This window comes from Homo sapiens, chromosome 10 (genome assembly GCF_000001405.40).
Source record: "Homo sapiens chromosome 10, GRCh38.p14 Primary Assembly".
NCBI lineage: Eukaryota > Metazoa > Chordata > Mammalia > Primates > Hominidae > Homo > Homo sapiens.
In genome coordinates this window covers 91,346,477-91,368,634 of record NC_000010.11, presented here as the reverse complement: position 1 = coordinate 91,368,634, position 22,158 = coordinate 91,346,477, and the positions used below count along the sequence as shown (strand labels likewise).

The following is a 22,158-nucleotide window of genomic DNA, read 5'->3' as shown; positions in this document are numbered from 1 at the left end:
AACACTATAGTTTGGCAGTCTGTACAGACCAGATGCTGATAGACACTCAGTCTCTTCAGCTATATTCAGAAAATGACAGAAGAACACACAGCTGAGTGTAACAATGACATTCATATTTGAACAAAGTTTTCTGTGTAAATCTTTTCCTAAATAGAATTGGCAATTAGAAATCATATAAAAATCACATAAGTACTAGTAACAGAAGAATGGAAGGAAAGAAAGAAAATAATAACTATCATCATTTAGCATATAAGACAAAGGAAAATACCAGAAATGATTGTTGAAAGCTTCTAAATGTCAAGAAGTGGAATAAAATGTGAATCACAAATCCCACTGTAATTTTATTAATAATGCACAGTCACAGATTAGTTCGTAGTTCTTTGGCTTTTTTTTTTTTTTTTTTTTGTAACTTTACTTCCTGGGAAGGAGCAAGAAAGAAATCCTCATGACACTCGTGCTTTAGCCAAAAGTAAGAATCCCAGAACTAAATTCTGTTCTTTATCCTGCCATTAACCTATATAACCTTTTGAGGCCAGATTTTTTATTATTTCACTAGGACAGGGGTAGGGTAGGGGCTGGATTTGCCTAGAGTGGTGACATGTTAGTGCTAACATCTAAAAAGATGTTAATGCCTGGTTCTTGTGAGTATTCATGACTTAGGCTTAGTGGTGAAGTTAATCTCATAGACCAGCAGGATGTCCTTGGTACTCACAATTCTGAAAATTTCCTGTCTATAGACTTGTTTAAATTCAACACTGAATGCTTCCTTTGGCCGGTCTAACTTTACTGTTACAATACTACCATATACGTTGCCATGTCCCCAGTACAGTAGTTGGATTGCCAACTTCCCAACATTCAGTCACATGGCTGAGTGTTGGAGGACTGGGTGTCCTATAGAGTGATATTAACACATAAATATAAATAGATGACAGTCTATTTAAAGCACAGTAGATTACCAAGAAAATATCCAAACATATAAACTAAATCTGTCTATCTAATCTGTTGTTACCAATGACCTGAATAGGTTTATAGTGGGTCTAGAAAGTTTCAACAAGAAACTATTGGATCCCACTTAAGTTTTCAACACCCATAATTCATGACGTGTAAACAGCATGCTGCCTTATCAGTAGTCACTAGATGAGAAGCTTTGTCTTCAAATAGGATATGGTGTTTTGATTCTCATCAGGAGGACTAAATTTCAGTAGCAGCTTGTTTCTAAAAGTACCCTGTACTTGAGTTGTCTAAATCTGTCCCTGTTATATTACAGGGAGCAAAGGGGGTGGGGGTGGGGTGACTCAGGCATACAGGAATAGGAAAGAACAGTGACTTCTTAGAAATGAAAACTTGAAATAAAATCCTTTGAGTCAACAGGGAAGACATTACAATTGTGTGCATTTACACATATGCAAATCTATATTTAGAGATATGATTCACAGCCAGGAAGAATAGAGACTTTAAATTCATATCTTACAAGATGCCTTCTTTTCCAGTTCTTCATGTATCAATATGAGAAAATAGGTGCTTTTGTTCCTTGTGACGTTATAAATTATGCCAACATTATCCTTCACAGTCTCTAGTAAGTTACAGAATCTCAAGATTTTGGTCCAAAGTACATTCATAAAGTAACTCTGGATTTACAAATTCATCACATCTTGAATGCAACAATGATGTTTTACACATTGACATCTTACAATGTACAAGTTCCTGTCTACATTGGAAGTCTGCAATTGATTTTGTTTTCCTAAGATGACTCATCCATATCCCAAAGGTGTTAATTTCACCAGATCCTTTGTGAATGGTTCTCATTCTGAGTCTGTTTGGAATCTGTAGGGAATGAACTCAACCTAAGGAAAGCCAAAGAGGCCATACCCAGGACACTGGACTTGTTTAGGTCATAACTAAAAAGTGGAGCATATGTAGGGTCATTGAAGGAGTTCAGAACTCACTGCAGAGCTGACTAAGGCAAAAGACTGGATTGAACTTAGCCTGGACTTAAAAAAGCCCTGGATTCTGCTTTAGGCATATTGTTACCTATGCCTTCTCAGGTTCTTTTGGCCAAGAACCAATCAACCAGTGACTGGCTTATACACCCATGAAATCTCTAAATCAGTGTATATCTCAGGATAGCCCTATGCTTACCACCACATTATTATTATTATTATTATTATTTCATTGTTATGAGTTCTTTTTTTAAACTATACTTTAAGTTCTAGGGTACAACCTGCAGGTTTGTTACATATGTATACATGTGCCATGTTGGTGTGCTGCACCCATTAACTCGTCATTTACATTAGATATATCTCCTGATGCTATCCCTCCCCCTCCCCCCACCCCACGACAGGCCCTGGTGTGTGATGTTCCCCTTCCTGTGTCCAAGTGTTCCCATTGTTCAATTCCCACCTGTGAGTGAGAACATGCGGTGTTTGGTTTTTTGTCTTTGCGATAGTTTGCTGAGAATGATGGCTTCCAGCTTCATCCATGTCCCTAAAAAGGACATGAACTCATCCTTTTTTATGGCTGCATAGTATTCCATGCTGTGTATGTGCCACATATTCTTAATCCAGTCTATCATTGGTGGACATTTGGGTTGGTTCCAAGTCTTTGCTATTGTGAATAGTGCCACAATAAACATATGTGTGCATGTGTCTTTAAGCAGCATGATTTATAATCCTTTGGGTATATACCCAGTAATGGGATGGCTGGGTCAAATGGTATTTCTAGTTCTAGATCCTTGAGGAATCGCCACACTGTCTTCCACAATGGTTGAACTAGTTTACAGTCCCACCAACAGTGTAAAAGTGTTCCTATTTCTCCACATCCTCTCCAGCACCTGTTGTTTCCTGACTTTTTAATGATCGCCATTCTAACTGGGTGTGAGATAGTATCTCATTGTGGTTTTGATTTGCATTTCTCTGATGGCCAGTGATGGTGAGCACTTTTTCATGTGTCTGTTGGCTGCATAAATGTCTTCTTTTGAGAAGTGTCTGTTCATATCCTTCACCCACTTGTTGATGGGATTGTTTGTTTTTTTCTTGTAAATGTGTTTGCGTTCTTTGTAGATTCTGGATATGAGCCCTTTGTCAGATGAGTAGATTGCAAAAATGTTCTCCCATTCTGTAGGTTGCCTGTTCACTCTGATGGTAGTTTCTTTTGCTGTGCAGAAGCTCTTTAGTTTAATTATATCCCATTTGTCAATTTTGGCTTTTGTTGCCATTGCTTTTGGTGTTTTAGACATGAAGTCCTTGCCCATGCCTATGTCCTGAATGGTATTGCCTAGATTTTCTTCTAGGGTTTTTATGGTTTTAAGTCTAACATGCAAGTCTTTAATCCATCTTGAATTAATTTTTGTATAAGGTGTAAGGAAGGGATCCAGTTTCAGCTTTCTACATATGGCTAGCCAGTTTTCCCAGCACCATTTATTAAATAGGGAATCCTTTCCGCATTTCTTGTTTTTCTCAGGTTTGTCAAAGATCAGATGGTTGTAGATGTGTGGTATTATTTCCGAGGGCTCTGTTCTGTTCCATTGGTCTGTATCTCTGTTTTGGTACCAGTACCATGCTGTTTTGGTTACTGTAGCCTTGTAGTATAGTTTGAAGTCAGGTAGCGTGATGCCTCCAGCTTTGTTCTTTTGGCTTAGGATTGACTTAGCAATGTGGGCTCTTTTTTGTTTCCATATGAACTTTAAAGTAGTTTTTTCCAATTCTGTGAAGAAAGTCATTGGTAGTTTGATGGGATGGCATAGAATCTATAAATAACCTTGGGCAGTATGGCCATTTTCACAATATTGGTTCTTCCTATCCATGAGCATGGAATGTTCTTCCATTTGTTTGTATCCTCTTTTATTTCATTGAGCAGTGGTTTGTAGTTCTCCTTGTAGAGGTCCTTCACATCCCTTGTAAGTTGGATTCCTAGGTATTTTATTCTCTTTGAAGCAATTGTGAATGGGAGTTCACTCATGATTTGGCTCTCTGTTTGTCTGTTATTGGTGTATAAGAATGCTTGTGATTTTTGCACATTGATTTTGTGTCCTGAGACTTTGCTGAAGTTGCTTATCAGCTTAAGGAGATTTTGGGCTGAGATGATGGGGTTTTCTAAATATACAATCATGTCATCTGCAAACAGGGACAATTTGACTTCCTCTTTTCCTAATCAAATACCCTTTATTTCCTTCTCCTGCCTGATTGCCCTGGCCAGAACTTCCAACACTATGTTGAATAGGAGTGGTGAGAGAGGGCATCCCTGTCTTGTGCCAGTTTTCAAAAGGAATGCTTCCAGTTTTGGTCCATTCAGTATGATATTGGCTGTGGGTTTGTCATAAATAGCTCTTGTTATTTTGAGATACTTCCCATCAATACCTAATTTGTTGAGAGTTTTTAGCATGAAGGGCTATTGAATATTGTCAAAGGCCTTTTCTGCATCTATTGAGATAGTCATGTGGTTTTTGTCTTTGGTTCTGTTTATATGATAGATTACGTTTATTGATTTGCATATGTTGAACCAGGCTTGCATCCCAGGGATGAAGCCCACTTGATCATGGTGGATAAGCTTTTTGATGTGTGGCTCAATTTGGTTTGCCAGTATTTTATTGAGGATTTTTGCATCAATGTTCATCAAGGATATTGGTCTAAAATTCTCTTTTCTTTTGGTTATGTCTCTGCTAGGCTTTGGTATCAGGATGATGCTGGCCTCATAAAATGAGTTAGGGAGGATTCCCTCTTTTTCTGTTGATTGGAACAGTTTCAGAAGGAATGGTACCAGCTCCTCCTTGTATCTCTGGTAGAAATCGGCTGTGAATCTGTCTGGTCCTGGAGTTTTTTTGGTTGGTAGGCTATTAATTGTTGCCTCAATTTCAGAGCCTGTTATTGGTCTATTCAGAGATTCAACTTCTTCCTGGTTTAGTCTTGGGAGGGTGTATGTGTCCAGGAATTTATCCATTTCTTCTTGATCTTCTAGTTTATTTGCGTAGAGGTTTTTATAGTATTCTCTGATGGTAGTTTGTATTTCTGTAGGATCAGTGGTGATATCCCCTTTACCATTTTTTATTGAATCTATTTGATCCTTCTCTCTCTTCTTCTTTATTAGTCTTGCTAGCAGTCTATCAATTTTGTTGATCTTTTTAAAAAAACAGCTCCTGGATTCACTGATTTTTTTGAAGGGTTTTTTGTGTCTCCATCTCCTTCAGTTCTGCTCTGATGTTAGTTATTTCTTGCTTTCTGCTAGCTTTTGAATAAAATCCTTGAAAAAAGATTAGATGAATGGCTAACTAGAATAACCAGTGTAGAGAAGTCCTTAAATGACCTGATGGAGCCGAAACTATGGCATGAGAACTACGTGATGAATGCAGAAGCTTCAGTAGCCGATTCAATCAACTGGAAGAAAGGGTATCAGTGATGGAAGATGAAATGAATGAAATGAAGCGAGAAGGGAAGTTTAGAGAAAAAAGAGTAAAAAGAAATGAAGAAAGCCTCCAAGAAATATGGGACTATGTGAAAATACAAAATCTATATCTGATTGGTGTACCTGAAAGTGACGGGGAGAATGGAACCAAGTTGGAAAACACTCTGCAGGATATTATCCAGGAGAACTTCCCCAACCTAGCAAGGCAGGCCAACATTCAAATTCAGGAAATACAGAGAACACCACAAAGATACTCCTTGAGAAGAGCAATCCCAAGACACATAATTGTCAGGTTCACCAAGGTCGAAATGAAGCAAAAAATGTTAAGGGCAGCCAGAGAGAAAGGTCAGGTTACCCCCAGAGGGAAGCCCATCAGACTAACAGCATATCTCTCTGCAGAAACTCTACAAGCCAGAAGAGTGTGGGGGCCAATATTCAACATTCTTAAAGAAAAGAATTTTCAAACCAGAATTTCATATCCAGCCAAACTAAGCTTCCTAAGCGAAGGACAAATAAAATCCTTTACAGACAAGCAAATGCTGAGAGATTTTGTCACCACCAGGCTTGCCTTACAAGAGCTCCTGAAGGAAGCACTAAATATGGAAAGGAAAAACCGGCACCAGCCACTGCAAAAACATACCAAATTGTAAAGACCAATGACACTAGGAAGAAACTGCATCAACTAAGGAGCAAAACAACCAGCTAATATCCTAATGATAGGATCAAATTCACACATAACAATATTACCTTAAATGTAAATGGGTTAAATGCCCCAATTAAAAGACACAGACTGGCAAATTGGATAAAGAGTCAAGACCCATTGGTGTGCTGTATTCAGGAGACCCATCTCATGTGCAGAGACACACATAGGCTCAAAATAAAGGGATGGAGGAAGATCTACCAAGCAAATGGAAAAGAAAAAAAGGTAGGAGTTACAATCCTAGTCTCTGATAAAACAGACTTTAAACCAACAAAGATCAAAAGAGACAAAGGCGGCCATTACACAATGGTAAAGGGATCAATTCAACAAGAAGAGCTAACTATCCTAAATATATATGCACCCAATATAGGAGCACCCAGATTCATAAAGCAAGTCCTTAGAGACCTACGAAGAGACTTAGACTCCCACACAATATTAATGGGAGACTTTAACACTCCACTGTCAACATTAGACAGATCAGTGAGACAGAAAGTTAACAAGGATACCCAGGACTTGAACTCAGCTCTGCACCAAGCAGACCTAATAGACATCTACAGAACTCTCCACCCCAAATCAACAGAATATACATTCTTCTCAGCACCACATCACACTTATTCCAAAATTGACCACATAGTTGGAAGTAAAGCACTCCTCAGCAAATGTAAAAGAACAGAAATTATAACAAACTGTCTCTCAGACCACAGCACAATCAAACTAGAACTCAGGAGTAAGAAACTCATTCAAAACAGCTCAATTACATAGAAACTGAACAAGCTGCTCCTGAATGACTACTGGGTAAATAACAAAATGAAGGCAGAAATAAAGATGTTCTTTGAAACCGATGAGAACAAAGACACAACATACCAGAATCTCTGCAACACATTTAAAGCAGTGTGTAGAGGGAAATTTATAGCACTAAATGCCCACAAGAGAAAGCAGGAAAGATCTAAAATTGACACCCTAACGTCACAATTAAAAGAACCAGAGAAGCAAGAGCAAACACATTCAAAATGTTACCACCACATTATATCAGTTACAAATATGCATCATCATGGAAATTGTGGGATTACTTTGCAAAGGAAAAAAATCAAATAAATTAAAGACAAAAAACAAAAGGTAGGAATATGAGCAGTTAATAGAGTCCTAAATAATGGAATCTCGAGGGATTAGAGCACGACTAGTTATTCCTTATGATCAGGAACACACTGAGAAAGGATATCTGTAGTCAAGCTTCTAAGTTTGTAGGAGATATTAACTTGTTTGAGGGAATGAAATGTCAACCAGTGAAGATAATCACAAGCCTCACAAGAAAATTAGCAGCAGAGTGTCAGCAAGGGTGAATGTGAAGTGGAGTGTGAAGAAATATAATGATTCAAATTTTGATTATGAGCATGAACGTTAAACTATCAGATATGCTCACAGAAGTCCTAAAGTCACCCTGACCTAGTAAATAGCTTTACTATTTACTAATGAAGGCTGGCTGGTCATCTTTGGGAAGATCTCTGGAAGCAAACTGAAAAGAATATGATCTTGCCTGGTTTCAAAACCCCGATTCATCTGTATCTAGAAAAAAGGAAACATAAATGATCATTATGACAAGAAAAATCAATAGAACTAGAGCAGGTCCAAAGAAAGGCAATTGGAAAAATCCAGCAGATGGGGAAATATCTGGACAGTTTGAAAATTGTACTCTGATTTGGATATCTCAACACTAAAAAGATATTATTTTTGTCTATGAATCTGTTAGATAAACATTAAATACGGATAATGATTTGTTTCCAAATTCCTGGAATACCAGATACCACTTGAAATGCTACTAGTAACAACAATGACAATGATGACGATGATGATGACAATGACAACAATGATGACAGCACATAATTTTGTGCTTGATAAAGAATTCATACTTAGTGAATGCCTGTTGAATGACATGGGTCATTTTTTTTCATATTTCCTAATATCTCAGAAGCTAAGCTTCCAGGACCTCCCTCAGGGAAAAAGGAAGACTTTTCTGGACCTGTTTAGACTCACTTTGTCATCGAATCAAGTCTCCCAGTGCAGTAGGCAGCCATGTACTGCAGCCCAAGACATCCCAGTCCTCTCGTGTATTTAATGGTGTAGGATGGAGTTTGTTCCTTTGGGAAATGGGAGATTCACAGTTTGGTTATTGCAATTCAGGGTTCCCAGGAAGCAGATCCTGTGATTGAGATTGACATTCAGGAGATTTTGTAGGACCTTTTGATGTCAATGCCTATGGAAGGAAGGGAAAGTAAGCAGGATTGGGCCAAGGGAGAAGGTGATCTGTATTGCAGTCTCAACAGATGACTTAGCCAACTATACAGGGAGTTATGGAGACAGAGTAAAAGTACAGAGGTGTCTCAGGAGAAACTTTATTCACCATGTTAATCAGTCATTAGATGTGAGGCCCCTTGTGAAGGAGATGTGATCTTGGTAAGGTAATTTCCTTCAGCAGAGGCAATCCCCACAAAGGGCTAAAGGTGGAGTGCCAGTAGCAGTCCCAATATCTGGGGGGTAATTGGCCCTTCGTTCTCCAAGACAGACCTTGGCAGCATATCCCACTGTCCCCCATACTGGCCTCCCTCTTGACCTCCAGTTCCCATTTCTGATTTACATGGCTGAGCAGCAAGAGGCTACTACTAAGGCTCTGTTTAGTGAAAGACAATGGTTTAGTTGCCAAGTACAAGACCAGCCCTTGGGGAAATCAAGGAGCTGACAGATCTGCCATCAGTGGTCCTGGCTTCCCTTCCCAGACTCCTTTCTCCCTTTGCAATAGTTTTTCCTTTTCCTGCTCCTCCCTTCCTTGCCCGGTGCACTTCTTCTCACCTCCCCCTACCTCTACCATATATACCTTTCCAGTGGAAATAATTGGATAATTTCATTCACCCAAACTTGTCAATGACAGGACTAGATTTGCATTTCAATTCAAAACAGAGTCTTAGGCTAAAAGAGTGAAACCCTTTGCAACTTCAGGCTGTCTTGGGTGAGGAGAACACTTTCCTGAATCTTAAGAATGAAGTGGTATAGGGAGCCATCATTCCCTTGGAAAGTTAAGTGTGGTCCTGCAGAGAGCTTATAAAAATTGGTGTGGATGGGGCCAGCAAGAGAAAGGAGAAAAATAATCTTTTTGTGGAGGTTCTTGCCTGCCAGGCATGATTGACAACTGCTGACAAAAGCAAGAGCTGGATCCCTCAGAGCGGTTACTGCTGCTGTTTAGCAACTCAGGCTAAAGAATCAAAGCAGAGATTTTTCTATCCTGAACTAAGAATCTGTCCCTGGTCAACTGCAACCAACTGGTTAGAATAAATCCAAGTAGAGAGATGGAGAATCCAGACCTCTGTTAAAATGAGGATGGTGAACTAAAGATGGCATAGAACTAAAGACAGTTTACTAGTTTTCTTTCCCATCAATGATCCCAGCTGTTCTACCTGCCAGTATTCCACTTTTTACTGGTAAGAACCTTTGATACCCTAAAAGAGAACTTTAAAAAGGAAGAATCTTAGAAGATTTTATTGATACATTGCAACCCTCTGTTGTTTCAGGCTGGGCAACTTTCTCAAAGATCTTATGTACTCAAACATGTCGTAAAATTTGTGCCTTTACAGCTCCAACTAATCCTATCTTATTTGGGAAAACTCATCTGTCCCTTACATAGTTCTTAACTTATACCATCACCAACAAATTTGGTATTGTATTTTGAAATGTTACCTACGTTTTACGTATCAGTGGGTTGTTTCCTAGAAGAAGCATGTGTAAAACAAGTGAGTTACTGAAGGAGTAGATTTGAAAAAATATTTCCAGCTGGATTCACTGTCAATTCTGCTTCACATTGTACCTCTTTATTTTCAGTATAATTCTTCTGTACCACTAGTAATTTTTTTATATTCCATTTGAATGTAAATTCCATAAAGGCAGGGATTTTTTGTTTCTTTGTTCCTAGATGTATTCCTGCACTGAGAATGGTGCCTGGAACGTAGTTAGGGAATCAGCAAATATTTGTAAAATAAAATTAATATTTCCTGTTACCACCTAAAGGCTGGAAAATTCTCAAGCTGCCTTTTGGCTTCTCAGAACATCTTATTATATCGCATCAAAATGAAACTGTCTTTGCTCCAATCTCTCTATTTGCTGATAATGACCTAACTATTAGTTCTTTTGGTTTAGTATATTGGAAAGAGTCAACTAGGAGTTATGATTTTCAGGATTAATCAATAATTAGCTGGAGGAACATTGGGAAAGTCATGTAAATTTTCTGGGTCATTGTTTGTTCACCTGTAAAAGGTGGTTTAACGATGCCTTTATGTTGTAGGATTTTGAATTGGATCAAATGGCATAGCAAACAAAAAGTTTAATGGTTAAAAGCAAGAACTCTTGATCCAGACTCAAATCCTACCTTCTCCACTTTCTAATTGTATGACCTTAGGCAAGTTATTTAATCTTTATAAGCTTTAGTTTCCACATATGTGAAATGGAGATAATTATAGTACCCCTCCCATAGAATTACGGCGTAGATAAAAATAGTCAATATATGCAAAACACTTAAAACAGTGCCTGCCACATAAAAGTTCCCATAATGAATGTTAGGTATTATTACTATTAAATGTAAAACACTCTTGGAAAATTGTGAATTGCTGTACAAATGGAAGGTAATTAGATTGCCATTTTAACAGGTCATTGATGGCTCAAGCTAAAATGAATGACTAATGCTGAAATTTTAGGCCCTGTGATTAGCAAGGAATGAGCGATTTGGCATCTCTCAAATTGTACCTCATACTTGGCTATGTATTCTGCCTATTCGCAGAGCTCGCCTGTGGTGTCCATGTACAGGGAATTAACTGTTACATTTATTCACAGTGACTTTGCCTTTCTGAGTTCTGTTGTCATCTACCTGTGTTGATGTTGGATGACTCAATTAACTGAATTGATTCTGAGTTTTGTCACTTGCAAAATGGGAGCAATAACAGCTTACTGCCTCTTTCAGAGGGTTAGTGAGAGGCCCAAATAAGATATTCACTATTCAAATATGAGATAGAGTCATTCTTTTGCTGATTCTCCCTGACATTTTGATAGAACTTTAACTGTCCTGCTCTACAAAAATAGTGGGCTGTTCAAACACTTTTTCTATCTAGACTCCCCTTTCATCAAAGTTGAAAACAGACCCAGTAAGTGGTCCAAGAAGCTACAGCTCAGTTCAAATAAACTGTATGGGCAGGGGTAGTAGAGAAAGGCTTACTGACTAAACATTCAGGCTGAATGACCAATCTCAGAACAGTAGAGTGTTTGCAAATAGCCAAGTGGTCTAATTGGCTTAGTTCGGAAAGTTTAGTATATTAAACTCCTTACTGAATTAATGCATTTACATTCTTATATGGTCCATAAATATGAATTTTATAGGGTTTGGAAACTGGAGGTAGAATATGGAAGAGATTCAGGAAATGTCATTATTATTATTATTGAGATAGAGTCTCACTCTGTCACCCAGGCTGGAATGCAGTGGTGTGATCTTGGCTCACTGCAACCTATGCCTTCTGGGTTCAAGCTATTCTTGTGCTTCAGCTTCCCGAGTAGCTGGGACTATAGGAACGCACCACTATGCCCAGCTAATTTTTTGTATTTTTTTTTTTAGTAGAGATGGGGTTTCGCCATGTTGGCCAGGCTGGTCTTGAACTTCTGGCCTCAAGCAATCTGCCTGCCTCGGCCTCCCAAAGTGCTGGGATTACAGGGATGAGCCACTACGCCTGGCCTGTTTTTATTTTTGTTTCAAATCCTGGTGAACTTCTGCTTTTGGCTATGATGGAATAACTGGTATTGGATTGTTCCTCCTGTGGTAAGCAATCATAAGACTGGACAAAATGTGTGAAGGAACTATTGTCAAACATTGGAAAACAGGCAGTACAAACCATGATCCCTGAGAGAAACTCATGAGGCAAGTCCCACGCTGGTGCAGCTTTCTGCCTAGGGACATTTTCCCAGCCACGGTGCAGGGAGCTGTGATCTAAGCAAAGTATAGTAGTCCTGCTGAGCTGAGGAAACCTAGATCAGAGTTTGGGGTATCTGAAGTGCCGGAGTCTGCAAAGTAGGGCACCAGAGTCGAGAAGCAACACAGAATAGTGGGGAGGTCTTGAAGGGACTTCTCCCTAAGTTTTTGGCTGAGGATTGCAATCATGTATTCAGGGAAAGACTGCACAAGGCTTACCACGCAACTGTGAATAAGAGCAGAGAAAGTAAAGGTTGAGAAGAACTAAGTAATGCTGGAGATCCTCCGCAGCCACAGTGGAGGGACATCATTAACATCTTGTTACCACTTCAAGAATCCAGCTTTGACACCACAAGGGCCACGCCCTAAGAGTAAAGCCCCATGCCTTAGGGTAAAGCCTGCTTTCTCAGTCTTCTATACAAAAGCCTAATATCAATCTTTCACAAGATGCACAGTTGAGGAGCTTTCCACACATCCACCCAAACAAAATATAAAGCCAAACCTACACAAGTTCAAGGTGTTCAGCCAGAAATTGATCTGCCTGTGAGAACAAAAACAAGATCTTTCTCAGAAGATAACAGAATGCAGAGTTTCTACCATGTATTATGAACATTACCCAATATACAAAAAGATTACTAGATATGTAAAGAAACAGGAAAATGTGATCCATAGTCAAGAACAAAAGAAATCAATGAAACTATGTCTTAATGAGTGAGTAGATAGGGAATTTCAGCAGAGAAATGGAAATATATATATATATATATATATATATATATATATATATATATGAAGCAGCTATTATCAAACATTGGGAAAAAGGCAACACAAATCATGATCCCTAAGAGAAACTCATGAAGTATACCTCACATTGTTGTCTTTCTGCCTAGGAAAGTCTCCACATTGAACTCCACATTCAGTTCACTCCAGAACTGAAAGTCTTCTCTAATATGAAACACAGAAATAAACTAATTTGAATAAAAATAAGTAGAGCTTAAGAATGGCATGTTTAAAGTGAGGAACAAAAGCAAAGAAGAAACAAATAAAAACCTTGTTAGCCCACAATTCTATATCCAGTGAAAATATATTTCAATAACTAGGGTGAAATAAAGACATTTTCAGATAAGTAAAAGCTTAAAGAATTCATCACTAACACACCTGCAACATGAGACAAGCTAAATTCTTTAGGCTAATAGGAAAGGATACAGAAGGAAAGTCATATTTAAGGGAGGAAAGACAAGCTCCAGAAATGGTAAATAAAAGGTACATTTACAAGAAAATATTATTTGTTCTCATAATTTTCTTAAAAGTGAGCTGATTACTAAAGCAAAATTAATAATGTAATTGGATTTTACAACGTTTATGGAAATAAAAGATATGGCAATGATAGCACGAAGAAACAGAATTATACTGTTGGAAGTTGATTACAGACTGGAGACAAAAATTTATAATACATAATCTGACACAGGATTATATCCAGAATATATAAATACTTCTTATAGCTCAATAGTAAGAAGTCAAACAACCCAATAAAAAAGAGCAGATTTGGACACTACAGAAGGAGACATACAGATAAGCCAACAAGCACATGAACACATGCTCAACATCTTTCATCATTAGGGAAATGCAATTTAAAACAAGAGGGACATTCTCTGACGAACCCACTAGAATGACTATAATTAAAAAGATTGACAACAGCAAATGTTGGTGAGGATCTAGAGCAACCAGAATTGATGTAAAATGATACAATCTTTTTGGGGAACACTTTGGTAGTTTCTTATAAAGTTATGCATACACTTATCATCAATTCCTCTTCTAGGTATTTGCCCAGAGAACTGAAAGCATATGTCCTCACAGGCTTGTATACATTTGTTTTGGCAGCTTTGCTTAAAATAGTCAAAAACTGAAAATAATCCAAATGTTCATCAAAAGGGGGAATGGATAAACAAATTATGGTGCAGCCACTGAATGATTTTCAGCAATAAGAAGGAACAAGTATCAACATACACAAGATGGATAAATGTCAAAGGCTTATGCTGAGCTAAAGAAGCCAGGCACAGAAGAGTATATACCATATGATTCCATTTATATCAAACTTCAGAACAGGCACAATTAATCTCTATTGATAGAAAACAGATCAATGGTTGCCTGGAGCCAGGCGTCGGTGGTTGCCTGGAGCCAGGCGTGGGTGGATGCCTGCAGAGAGACATAAGGGAACTTTTTGGGTGATGAAATGTTCTATATTTGTCTTTACTAGGGTGGAGGTTTCACAAATTATACATTTGTCAAAAATCATTGAACTGTACCCTTAAAATGGGTACAGTTTACATTATGTGAGTTATACCTCAATAAAGATGGTTTAAAAATTGACATGGTCATGATATTGTGGGTTGCTGTCACATGGCATTTATACTTTTGGACATAGCTCTAGATACTCATGTCACCCAGAAATCCAGGTGAAGATAAAGGAATAATAACATGAAAAAGGAAAAAGAGAAAATAAAAATTACAGTTTATAGTTTCTAAATTCTTGTTAGCTTAGAAATACAATGACAGACCAGGCGCAGTGGCTCACGCCTCTAATTCCAGCACTTTAGGAGGCTGAGGTAGGTGGATCACTTGAGGTCAGAAGTTCAAGACCAGTCTGACTAACATGGTGAAACCCTGTCTCTACTAAAAATACAAAAATTAGTCATGTGTGGTGGCATGTGCCTGTAATCCCGGCTATTCGGGAGGCTGAGGCAAGAGAATTGCTTGAACCTGGGAGGAAGAGGTTGTAGTGAGCCGAGATTGTGCCACTGAACTCTAGCCTGGGCAACAGAGTGAGACTCTGTCTCAAAAAAAAAATATATATATATATGGATATATATGTGTATATATATGTATATCCATATATATATATGTGTATATATATGTATATCCATATATATATATGTATACACACACATATATATGTATACACATTGGATATATATATATATATCCAATGACATGCTATATAATCTTCGAAGGGTAGGAAATGGCTGTTGAATGGTGATGGGAAAGTGTATTAATTCATTCTCACTCTCATGGTGCTATGAAGAAATACTTGAGACTGGGTAATGTATAAAGGAAAGAGGTTTAACTGACTCACAGTTCAGCATGGTTGGGGAGGCCTCAGGAAACTTACAATCATGGCAGAAGGAGAACTGCAAACACGTCCTTCTTCACATGGTAGCAGGAAAGAGAAGTGCTGAACAAAAGAGGGAAAATCCCCTTATAAAATCATCAGATCTCATGAGAACTCACTCACTATCATGAGAACAGCATGAGGGTAACTGCCCCCATGATTCAATTACCTCCCGCCGGGTCCCTCCCAAGACATGTGGGGAACAATTTCAGATGAGATTGGGTGGGGACACAGCCAAACCATATCAGAAAGTTAGTTTATTCAAGTGAATGTGGGAAACACCTTCTGGAAATAGAAAAACTGGCATCCTATCCTGGTGTGTACCATCACATAAAAAGCAATAAATCCATGATTATCAACTTTATATGAATTAGAAGAGAGCTAAATGCACTCAACATTAAAACTCTGCTGAATAGTACTGGCTTTTGAATGACTCACCACGCTTGTCATCCCTTGGGCCATCATTTATAGACATTGTGCTATCAAAGAACTGAAGAGATTCATACAGAGATTAACAGATATCCTCTTAGTAGAAGGTGGGCAGCAAGGGAGTTTAATGCAGTTGTGTTTAAAAAGAGGCTATTCTGAAGTATAAAAAAGTGAATCCAATGAAGGAGATTTCAGGAACAATGGAGCCCAGTGAGGTGGGCCTAGTTTTCATCACCTTGGATCTCATATCACCATAAGCAAGCTTTTCTCCCTATTTGCAGAGGCCAGGAGGTGTTTTTCTCATCTGGTAAACATGTTTATTTTGGTAAGCAAAATAAACAATTTGCATTTCCTTGGAAAAAGTCCCATTATTTAAAGACGTTTTGGATTTTACCTTTTAACCACTCAAAAAAAAAAAAAAGTTACAAATGAAAAAAGACAAATGAGACAATCAACCAATTAAAATGTATTAAAATGTATGGCCCTAATAATTTAAAGCCTTATTAGAATAAATAAAATGTAAAAGCAAAGAAAAAATGTATAGGGACATGTGAATACTACTAGGTGAACATTGAATAGTATTCAGAAATCATTGTTAAAAATGTTTAGGTGTGATGACGGATTTGGGGTTTTGTTTTTAAAAAGTCATTTTTATGTACATACTGACATATTTATAGATGAAATAATGTAATGTGTGGCATTTGCCACTATATAATACCGTATATAGTGGCAAATGGGGAGGAGAACTATAAAACTTTGACTTAATATCAGATTCTTAAGGGAAAATAGCTCATGGGATTAATTATTATGGGTAAGTGTGAAAGTTTATTCTAGTGTGATGCTCTGGGAAACAGCTTTGGTGTTTCCTCTTCAAGCATTTGAAGCATGCTCCTAACCAGAGCCATAGAACAGTATCAAGAGCCCTCATAGCATTTTATTCTTTGGTTCAGAACTGCCTTATGCTCCACTGCCTTTTCCTTTTGCCCATGACACTCAGTCTCCATCTTTCTTGGCTTACAGCTGGCTACCCTGTCTTTCCTGGTGCTGATTCCAGGTTGATAGCTCTGATTAAGCCTTGGCACTTCCTTGGCACGCTGTTTCCGGTATGGACTCCTTTATCTCTGCATACACCCCAACCACAGCCAAGTGGCACGATGTTCTCCAATGTTCCCAACCTCCTGGGTAAAACACTGGAAGAAGCTCCAAAGAACCTGTCTGTTTGACAATGTAGAAAGGAAACTGATGTAAATACATAGTTTTCACATCTAACCATCAGAATCGAAAGAGAAAAGAGTGACACTATAGGTGCATTACAATTTCACTGAGGAGTTGGATAAGCAGAATTACAGATACCACAGGAACAATCCTGGAAACTGATTAAATTCACTTTCTAGTTATACTTTGAATTTCATCAGAATGCTATAAATTGTCATTTAAAAACCATGGTTCAAGTAATATAATATTTTTCAAACTGCAGGACATGTTCCTTTCATGGGTTGCGAAATTAATTTAATAGGCAGCCAAAAACATTTGTAACAGACTAGTCTAGACTAGTCTGGAAGGAAATAAATGGAAAATATTAAAGTGAATCATACATAGTAAGAGTGAATATACTTTCTATAGAACTTTTGTTTTAGTTTAGCAAGTGTGTGTGTGTGTGTGTGTGTGTGTGTGTGTGTGTGTGTGTTGTCACAGTATAAAATCAATTTCTTACTGTGACCATTTCCAAAAATATTTGAAAATCCTTATGTAATGAATTTCTATATATGATATCAAAAAACCAAAAGGATTCAGGGGGCAAAAAAGGTAACTCTGAAGGAAAATTTCTGTCAAAACAAAATCCTGGTAATTCAATAACTAACTTGTTACCCGAATCAGAGAGCTAATCCATGCCAACCAGTCAGAAACCGTAAATAACCTGGCAGAAGGAACAGGCTACTAGATGTCATCTGATTTGTTCTTTTTGTGTGGTTTTGCTGACTATGTTTTCCTGTTGAATTTAAAAGGCCCCACTCATTTTTGTTACTTGGTAACTGCCATTTTCAGACTAGCTTTTGTCTGTTTCTAGATGAAGCCTGCAGGACACCAGCTGACAGTGGAAGGACTGAGGAAGGTTGTATAATTTTGTGCAAGGTCCACCACAAATCCAGCTGAAGAACTGCTCCAAAGTTTAGGTCATGGCAAGAACAAGGTAAGATGACATTAGTCACTCAAACACAGACTCAAGCTGCAACAACTAATGCTCCTATGAGACTGGCTATATGCCAAAGTCATATTTGGCCAAAGAATATATGCCCTTTGAAATCCCAGCAGGCATAGACCTACAAATTCTCAGCTAATGAGATGTTCATTCATTTTTACAGCTCCAGGGTGGAGAAAACAATTTCCCCCTTGCCAAATTTTTCTTTTATGTAAAACTTTAAATAAGAACTAAGAGATTTCATAGTGTCTGCAAACCTGGAAGTTTTTAATACAAATCCTCTAAAAGTTTGTGTCACTCACAGCTTCTTGCTGGTTTTTTTTTTTTTTTTTTTTTTTTTTTTAGAGCCTCCTCAAAATGGACTTGCATATTCCCCTTCTAGAAGGAGTAGATTATTCAAACCCTTTAAATCAAAGCTGGGCATGGTAGCTCATGCCTGTAATCCCAGCACTTTGGGAGGCTGAGGCGGGCGGATCACTTGAGATTAGGAGTTTGAGACCAGCCTGGCCAACGTGGTGAAACCTTGTTTCTACTAAAAATACAAAAATTAGCCAGGCATGGTGGCGGGCAGCTGTAATCCCACCTATTTGGGAGGCTGAGGCAGGAGAATTGCTTGAACCCAGAAGGCGGAGGCTACAGTGAGCCGAGATTGCACCCCTGTACTCCAGCCTGGGTGACAGAGCAAGAATCCATCTCATAACAAAAACCAAAACCAAAACCAAAAACAACAAACTCTTTAATTCAAGAGGTGAATCCTGAATCCCCATCTGGAAGGTTGTGGGAGGGCATAATCGTGATAGAAAATCTATCTCAAAATGACATTTGGGAAATGAAATGTTCAAATTCTGACCAAGGGGGTCAGAAGGGAACAAGTCTGAAAGTCTTAAAAGGGGAAGGTGGGGTGGGGAACACAATTGGAGTGAAATCACAAGAAATGTGAAATGTACTTATCAGTTGGCTTCACAATGTGCTCTTATTGGTTGTGTGTCCCTGGGCACCAAGGAGGCCAGGCCTACCATATTGAAAGCAGAATGGAGGGGAGCTCAGCATGGCTCCTCTGAGTAGTCACAAGTGATTCATACAGGCCCAGCTGGGACCCCAAGAAGAAGGGAGAGGTTGCAGTAGTGTGGACACTGTGGGTTTCCAGGAACCATAGGAATCCACAGCTCCAGCTCAACAATGATGCAAACCAGGACCTTGCCAAGCTGTCTTCTCCCAGAGAACAGAGTCTGCTCAGGCTTATGTTCTTGCCTCATTGCAAGTTTCAAATGAGGTGACAAGAATGGCATCTGGAACATTTCCTGGCAGAGAGGGCATTTCTCCCCTCCCCTCTCCCAGAGCTTGTTCCTTTTCTTACCTCTCTCTGTTCCTGCTTCACATTGAAAGAGGCTGGCAATGAAATGAGACCAAACCTTCGTTCAAATACAGCCTCGCTACTTGCTTGCTTAGAGCAAATCACTGGACTCCTGTAAGCCTCAGTTTCCTCAGCAATAAAAGTAAGAGATAATAACACTTACCTTATAGAGTTGTATGAGGATTGGGAGAATGTACATAATGTGCTCTACAAACATTCAACACTCAAAGTCAGGGCTTCTCAACTTTGTACTTTAATAATTCGGCCAGGTCATTCTTTGTTGTAGGGAGCTGTCTTGTGCATTGTAGGATGTGTAACAGCATCCCTGATCTCTACAAACAGGATACTAGTAGTACCTTCCCTCTCCTCGCCACAGTGTGACAACCAAGAATGCCTCTAGATATTGCCAAAGGTCCCCTGAGGGCAAAATCAGGCCTGGTTGACTATGACTTCCATCTTGTTTTCCTTTCTCTCTCTCTCTCTCTGTCTGTCTCTCTCTCTCTGTCTCGGAGTCTTGGGAAAGCGAACTGTCATGTTATGAACAGCCCAGATCAGAAGTAACTAATGTCCTAAGCAAATAGCTAGCAAGCACCTGAGGCTTGCCTGCAGCCAAGTGAGTGACTTTGGAAAAGGACCTTTACACGGTTGAGCCCTGAGATGACTGCAGCCCTAGATGATGCACTGATTACAGCCTTTGACAGATCCCGAGTTAGAGGCACTCAGTAAAGCCATGCCCCTGCTCCTGACCCACAGAAACTCTGAGATAATAAATGCTTATTCTTTTAAGCTGCTAAGTTTTGGGGTCATTTGTAATGCAGCCATAGGTAACTAAGACAAGGACCAACAATGATCAAGTAATATATCAGTGTTGAATGGGAAGCAGATGAGTCAGGTGGAGTCTATGCACGTAAGAGATCTCAGAGGTGACCCCACAGGCAGATCCTGAGGTTTCCATGGTATTGGGTGGGGAGGACATTTACATTCTTGCATCAGTATTGTTTGGTTGTCCCATATATATTTAGTGCTCTTTCTGTATATGACTTATTGAAACATCCCCTTTATCTTTGTAGGGCTGTGGCTTACCATTTAAAAATGTTAAACGAAATGTCTCTTATTCTAAATTAATTTTATCCTCTTATTCACTGTATATGAATACATTTTTCTTGGCTATCATCAGTGCTATACTAGTTTGTGTTCTCATTTTCCTAAACATGTTTTATTATAAATGTAACGAATAATTAATATAAAGAAATTGAAACAGTGGGGGAAAGCAGAATTTTTATGAGAATTAACCATTGTTAACAATTTAGTATGTATCTTTCCAGATATTTTCCATGAAACACAATTATGCCACATAAATACATATTTTTGTTTCAAGATTCTTTGGTTTCAAGGGATAGAAACCAAAGCAAACTGGCTTAAGCATAAAGATTTACTTGGCTTGGATAATCAAAATTCTGGAAGCATACGAGTAGAGTTACCTACCTTGGAGATGATTGAAGCCAGGACTAGAACATCCCCAGGAATCATTCTTTTTGTCTCTCATCTCTATGTCTCAAGGTGTGTTGGCTTCATTCTCCCACACTGGGTTTTCCATGAGTCAAGGATGTGGCCAGCACTTCCTGGCTCTGAGTCTCTTACAACTTTATGACTGAAGTAAAAAGGGGTGTTGGTCTCCCAGCTTGAAAAATCCCAGGGAATGTTTCTGATTGGTTTAGCCTGTTGATTAACCACTCCAGTCAAGGGTGTGAGGTATTATGAGAAGCTGAGCTGGAGTCACATGTCTAATCTATTGCTGGAGAAGGTTACTAGACAAAGTAGGGGAAGCAGTGCTTGGCAGCCAATAACAATAGGCACCTATCACAATCTTTTATCCAAGTATTATCATGATGTGCATCATTAGTCTCAATTTGTTTTAATAAGTAAATTACATATCACAGGCTTCTTTACATATGAACATATATTATGCTCAGTCTATTCAACAGTCTACACTCAATAGCACAGAAATATGAACTGTTTTAGTTTTTTTCTCCAATCATTTATTTCAACCGTATTCCATGAAATCTCCCTTTCCTGCCCTTAAGAATATCTTGGGCAGATCTCATAGCTTTCTGGTTACTTTTTATTATTAAAATGCGCTTTCCTATCTCGAGTAGTTTAAAAACTAAATCTTATATCCAATATGATGTTCATTCTCTTTCTCAAACCACCAGGCCAGGGTAAGCTTCAGGAAGGGGCTTGAGGTAAAGAAGGGCATGGCTCACCTTTTCACTTCTCCTGCCTTCCGTCTTCTGTGGTTGGAGTGAGAAGGAGGGAGAATAAGAAAGACATGTGTCTTTATATTTATGTGACTGTTGTGGGATGAACTGCATTCCCCTAAAATTTGTATATTGAAGCCCTAACTTCCTGTACCTCGGGTTGTGACTATATTTGGAAATAGGGCCTTAAATGAGGTGATTAAGTTAAAATGAGACCATCAAGGTGGACCCTAATTCAACCTGGCTGGTTTCTTTGTAAGAACAGGAAATATGGTCATAAAAAGAGATACCTTGCATGCACGCCCACAAGGATGACCATCTAAAGCAAGCTAGAGAGGCCGCAGAGGAAACCAGCCCTTGATTAGTTCCAGTCTCCAGAAATGTGAGAAAATAAATTTCTGTTTTTTAAGTCATTGGTCCTCAACCTTTTTGGCACCAGGGACTGGTTTCCTGAAAGACAATTTTTCCACGGATGGGAGGCAGGGATGGTTTTGGAATGAAACTTTTCCACCTCAGATCATCAGGTATTACTTAGATTCTCATAAGGAGAGCACAACCTAGATACCTTGCATGCGCAGTTCGCAATAGGGTTCGTTCTCCTATTAGAATCTCATGCTGCTGCTGATCTAACAGGAGGTGGAGCTCAGGCGGTAATACTG

General features: G+C 38.8%; 1 long non-coding RNA gene across 1 annotated transcript in view; it reads left to right on the top strand.

Moving 5' to 3' along the window:
* HECTD2-AS1 (HECTD2 antisense RNA 1) overlaps positions 1–22,158 on the top strand; it is a 304,499-nt gene that overhangs the window by 242,826 nt on the left and 39,515 nt on the right. The window contains exon 4 of the long non-coding RNA NR_024467.1: positions 17,756–17,878. This is a non-coding gene — a long non-coding RNA (HECTD2 antisense RNA 1). The remainder of the gene's footprint in view (positions 1–17,755; positions 17,879–22,158) is intronic.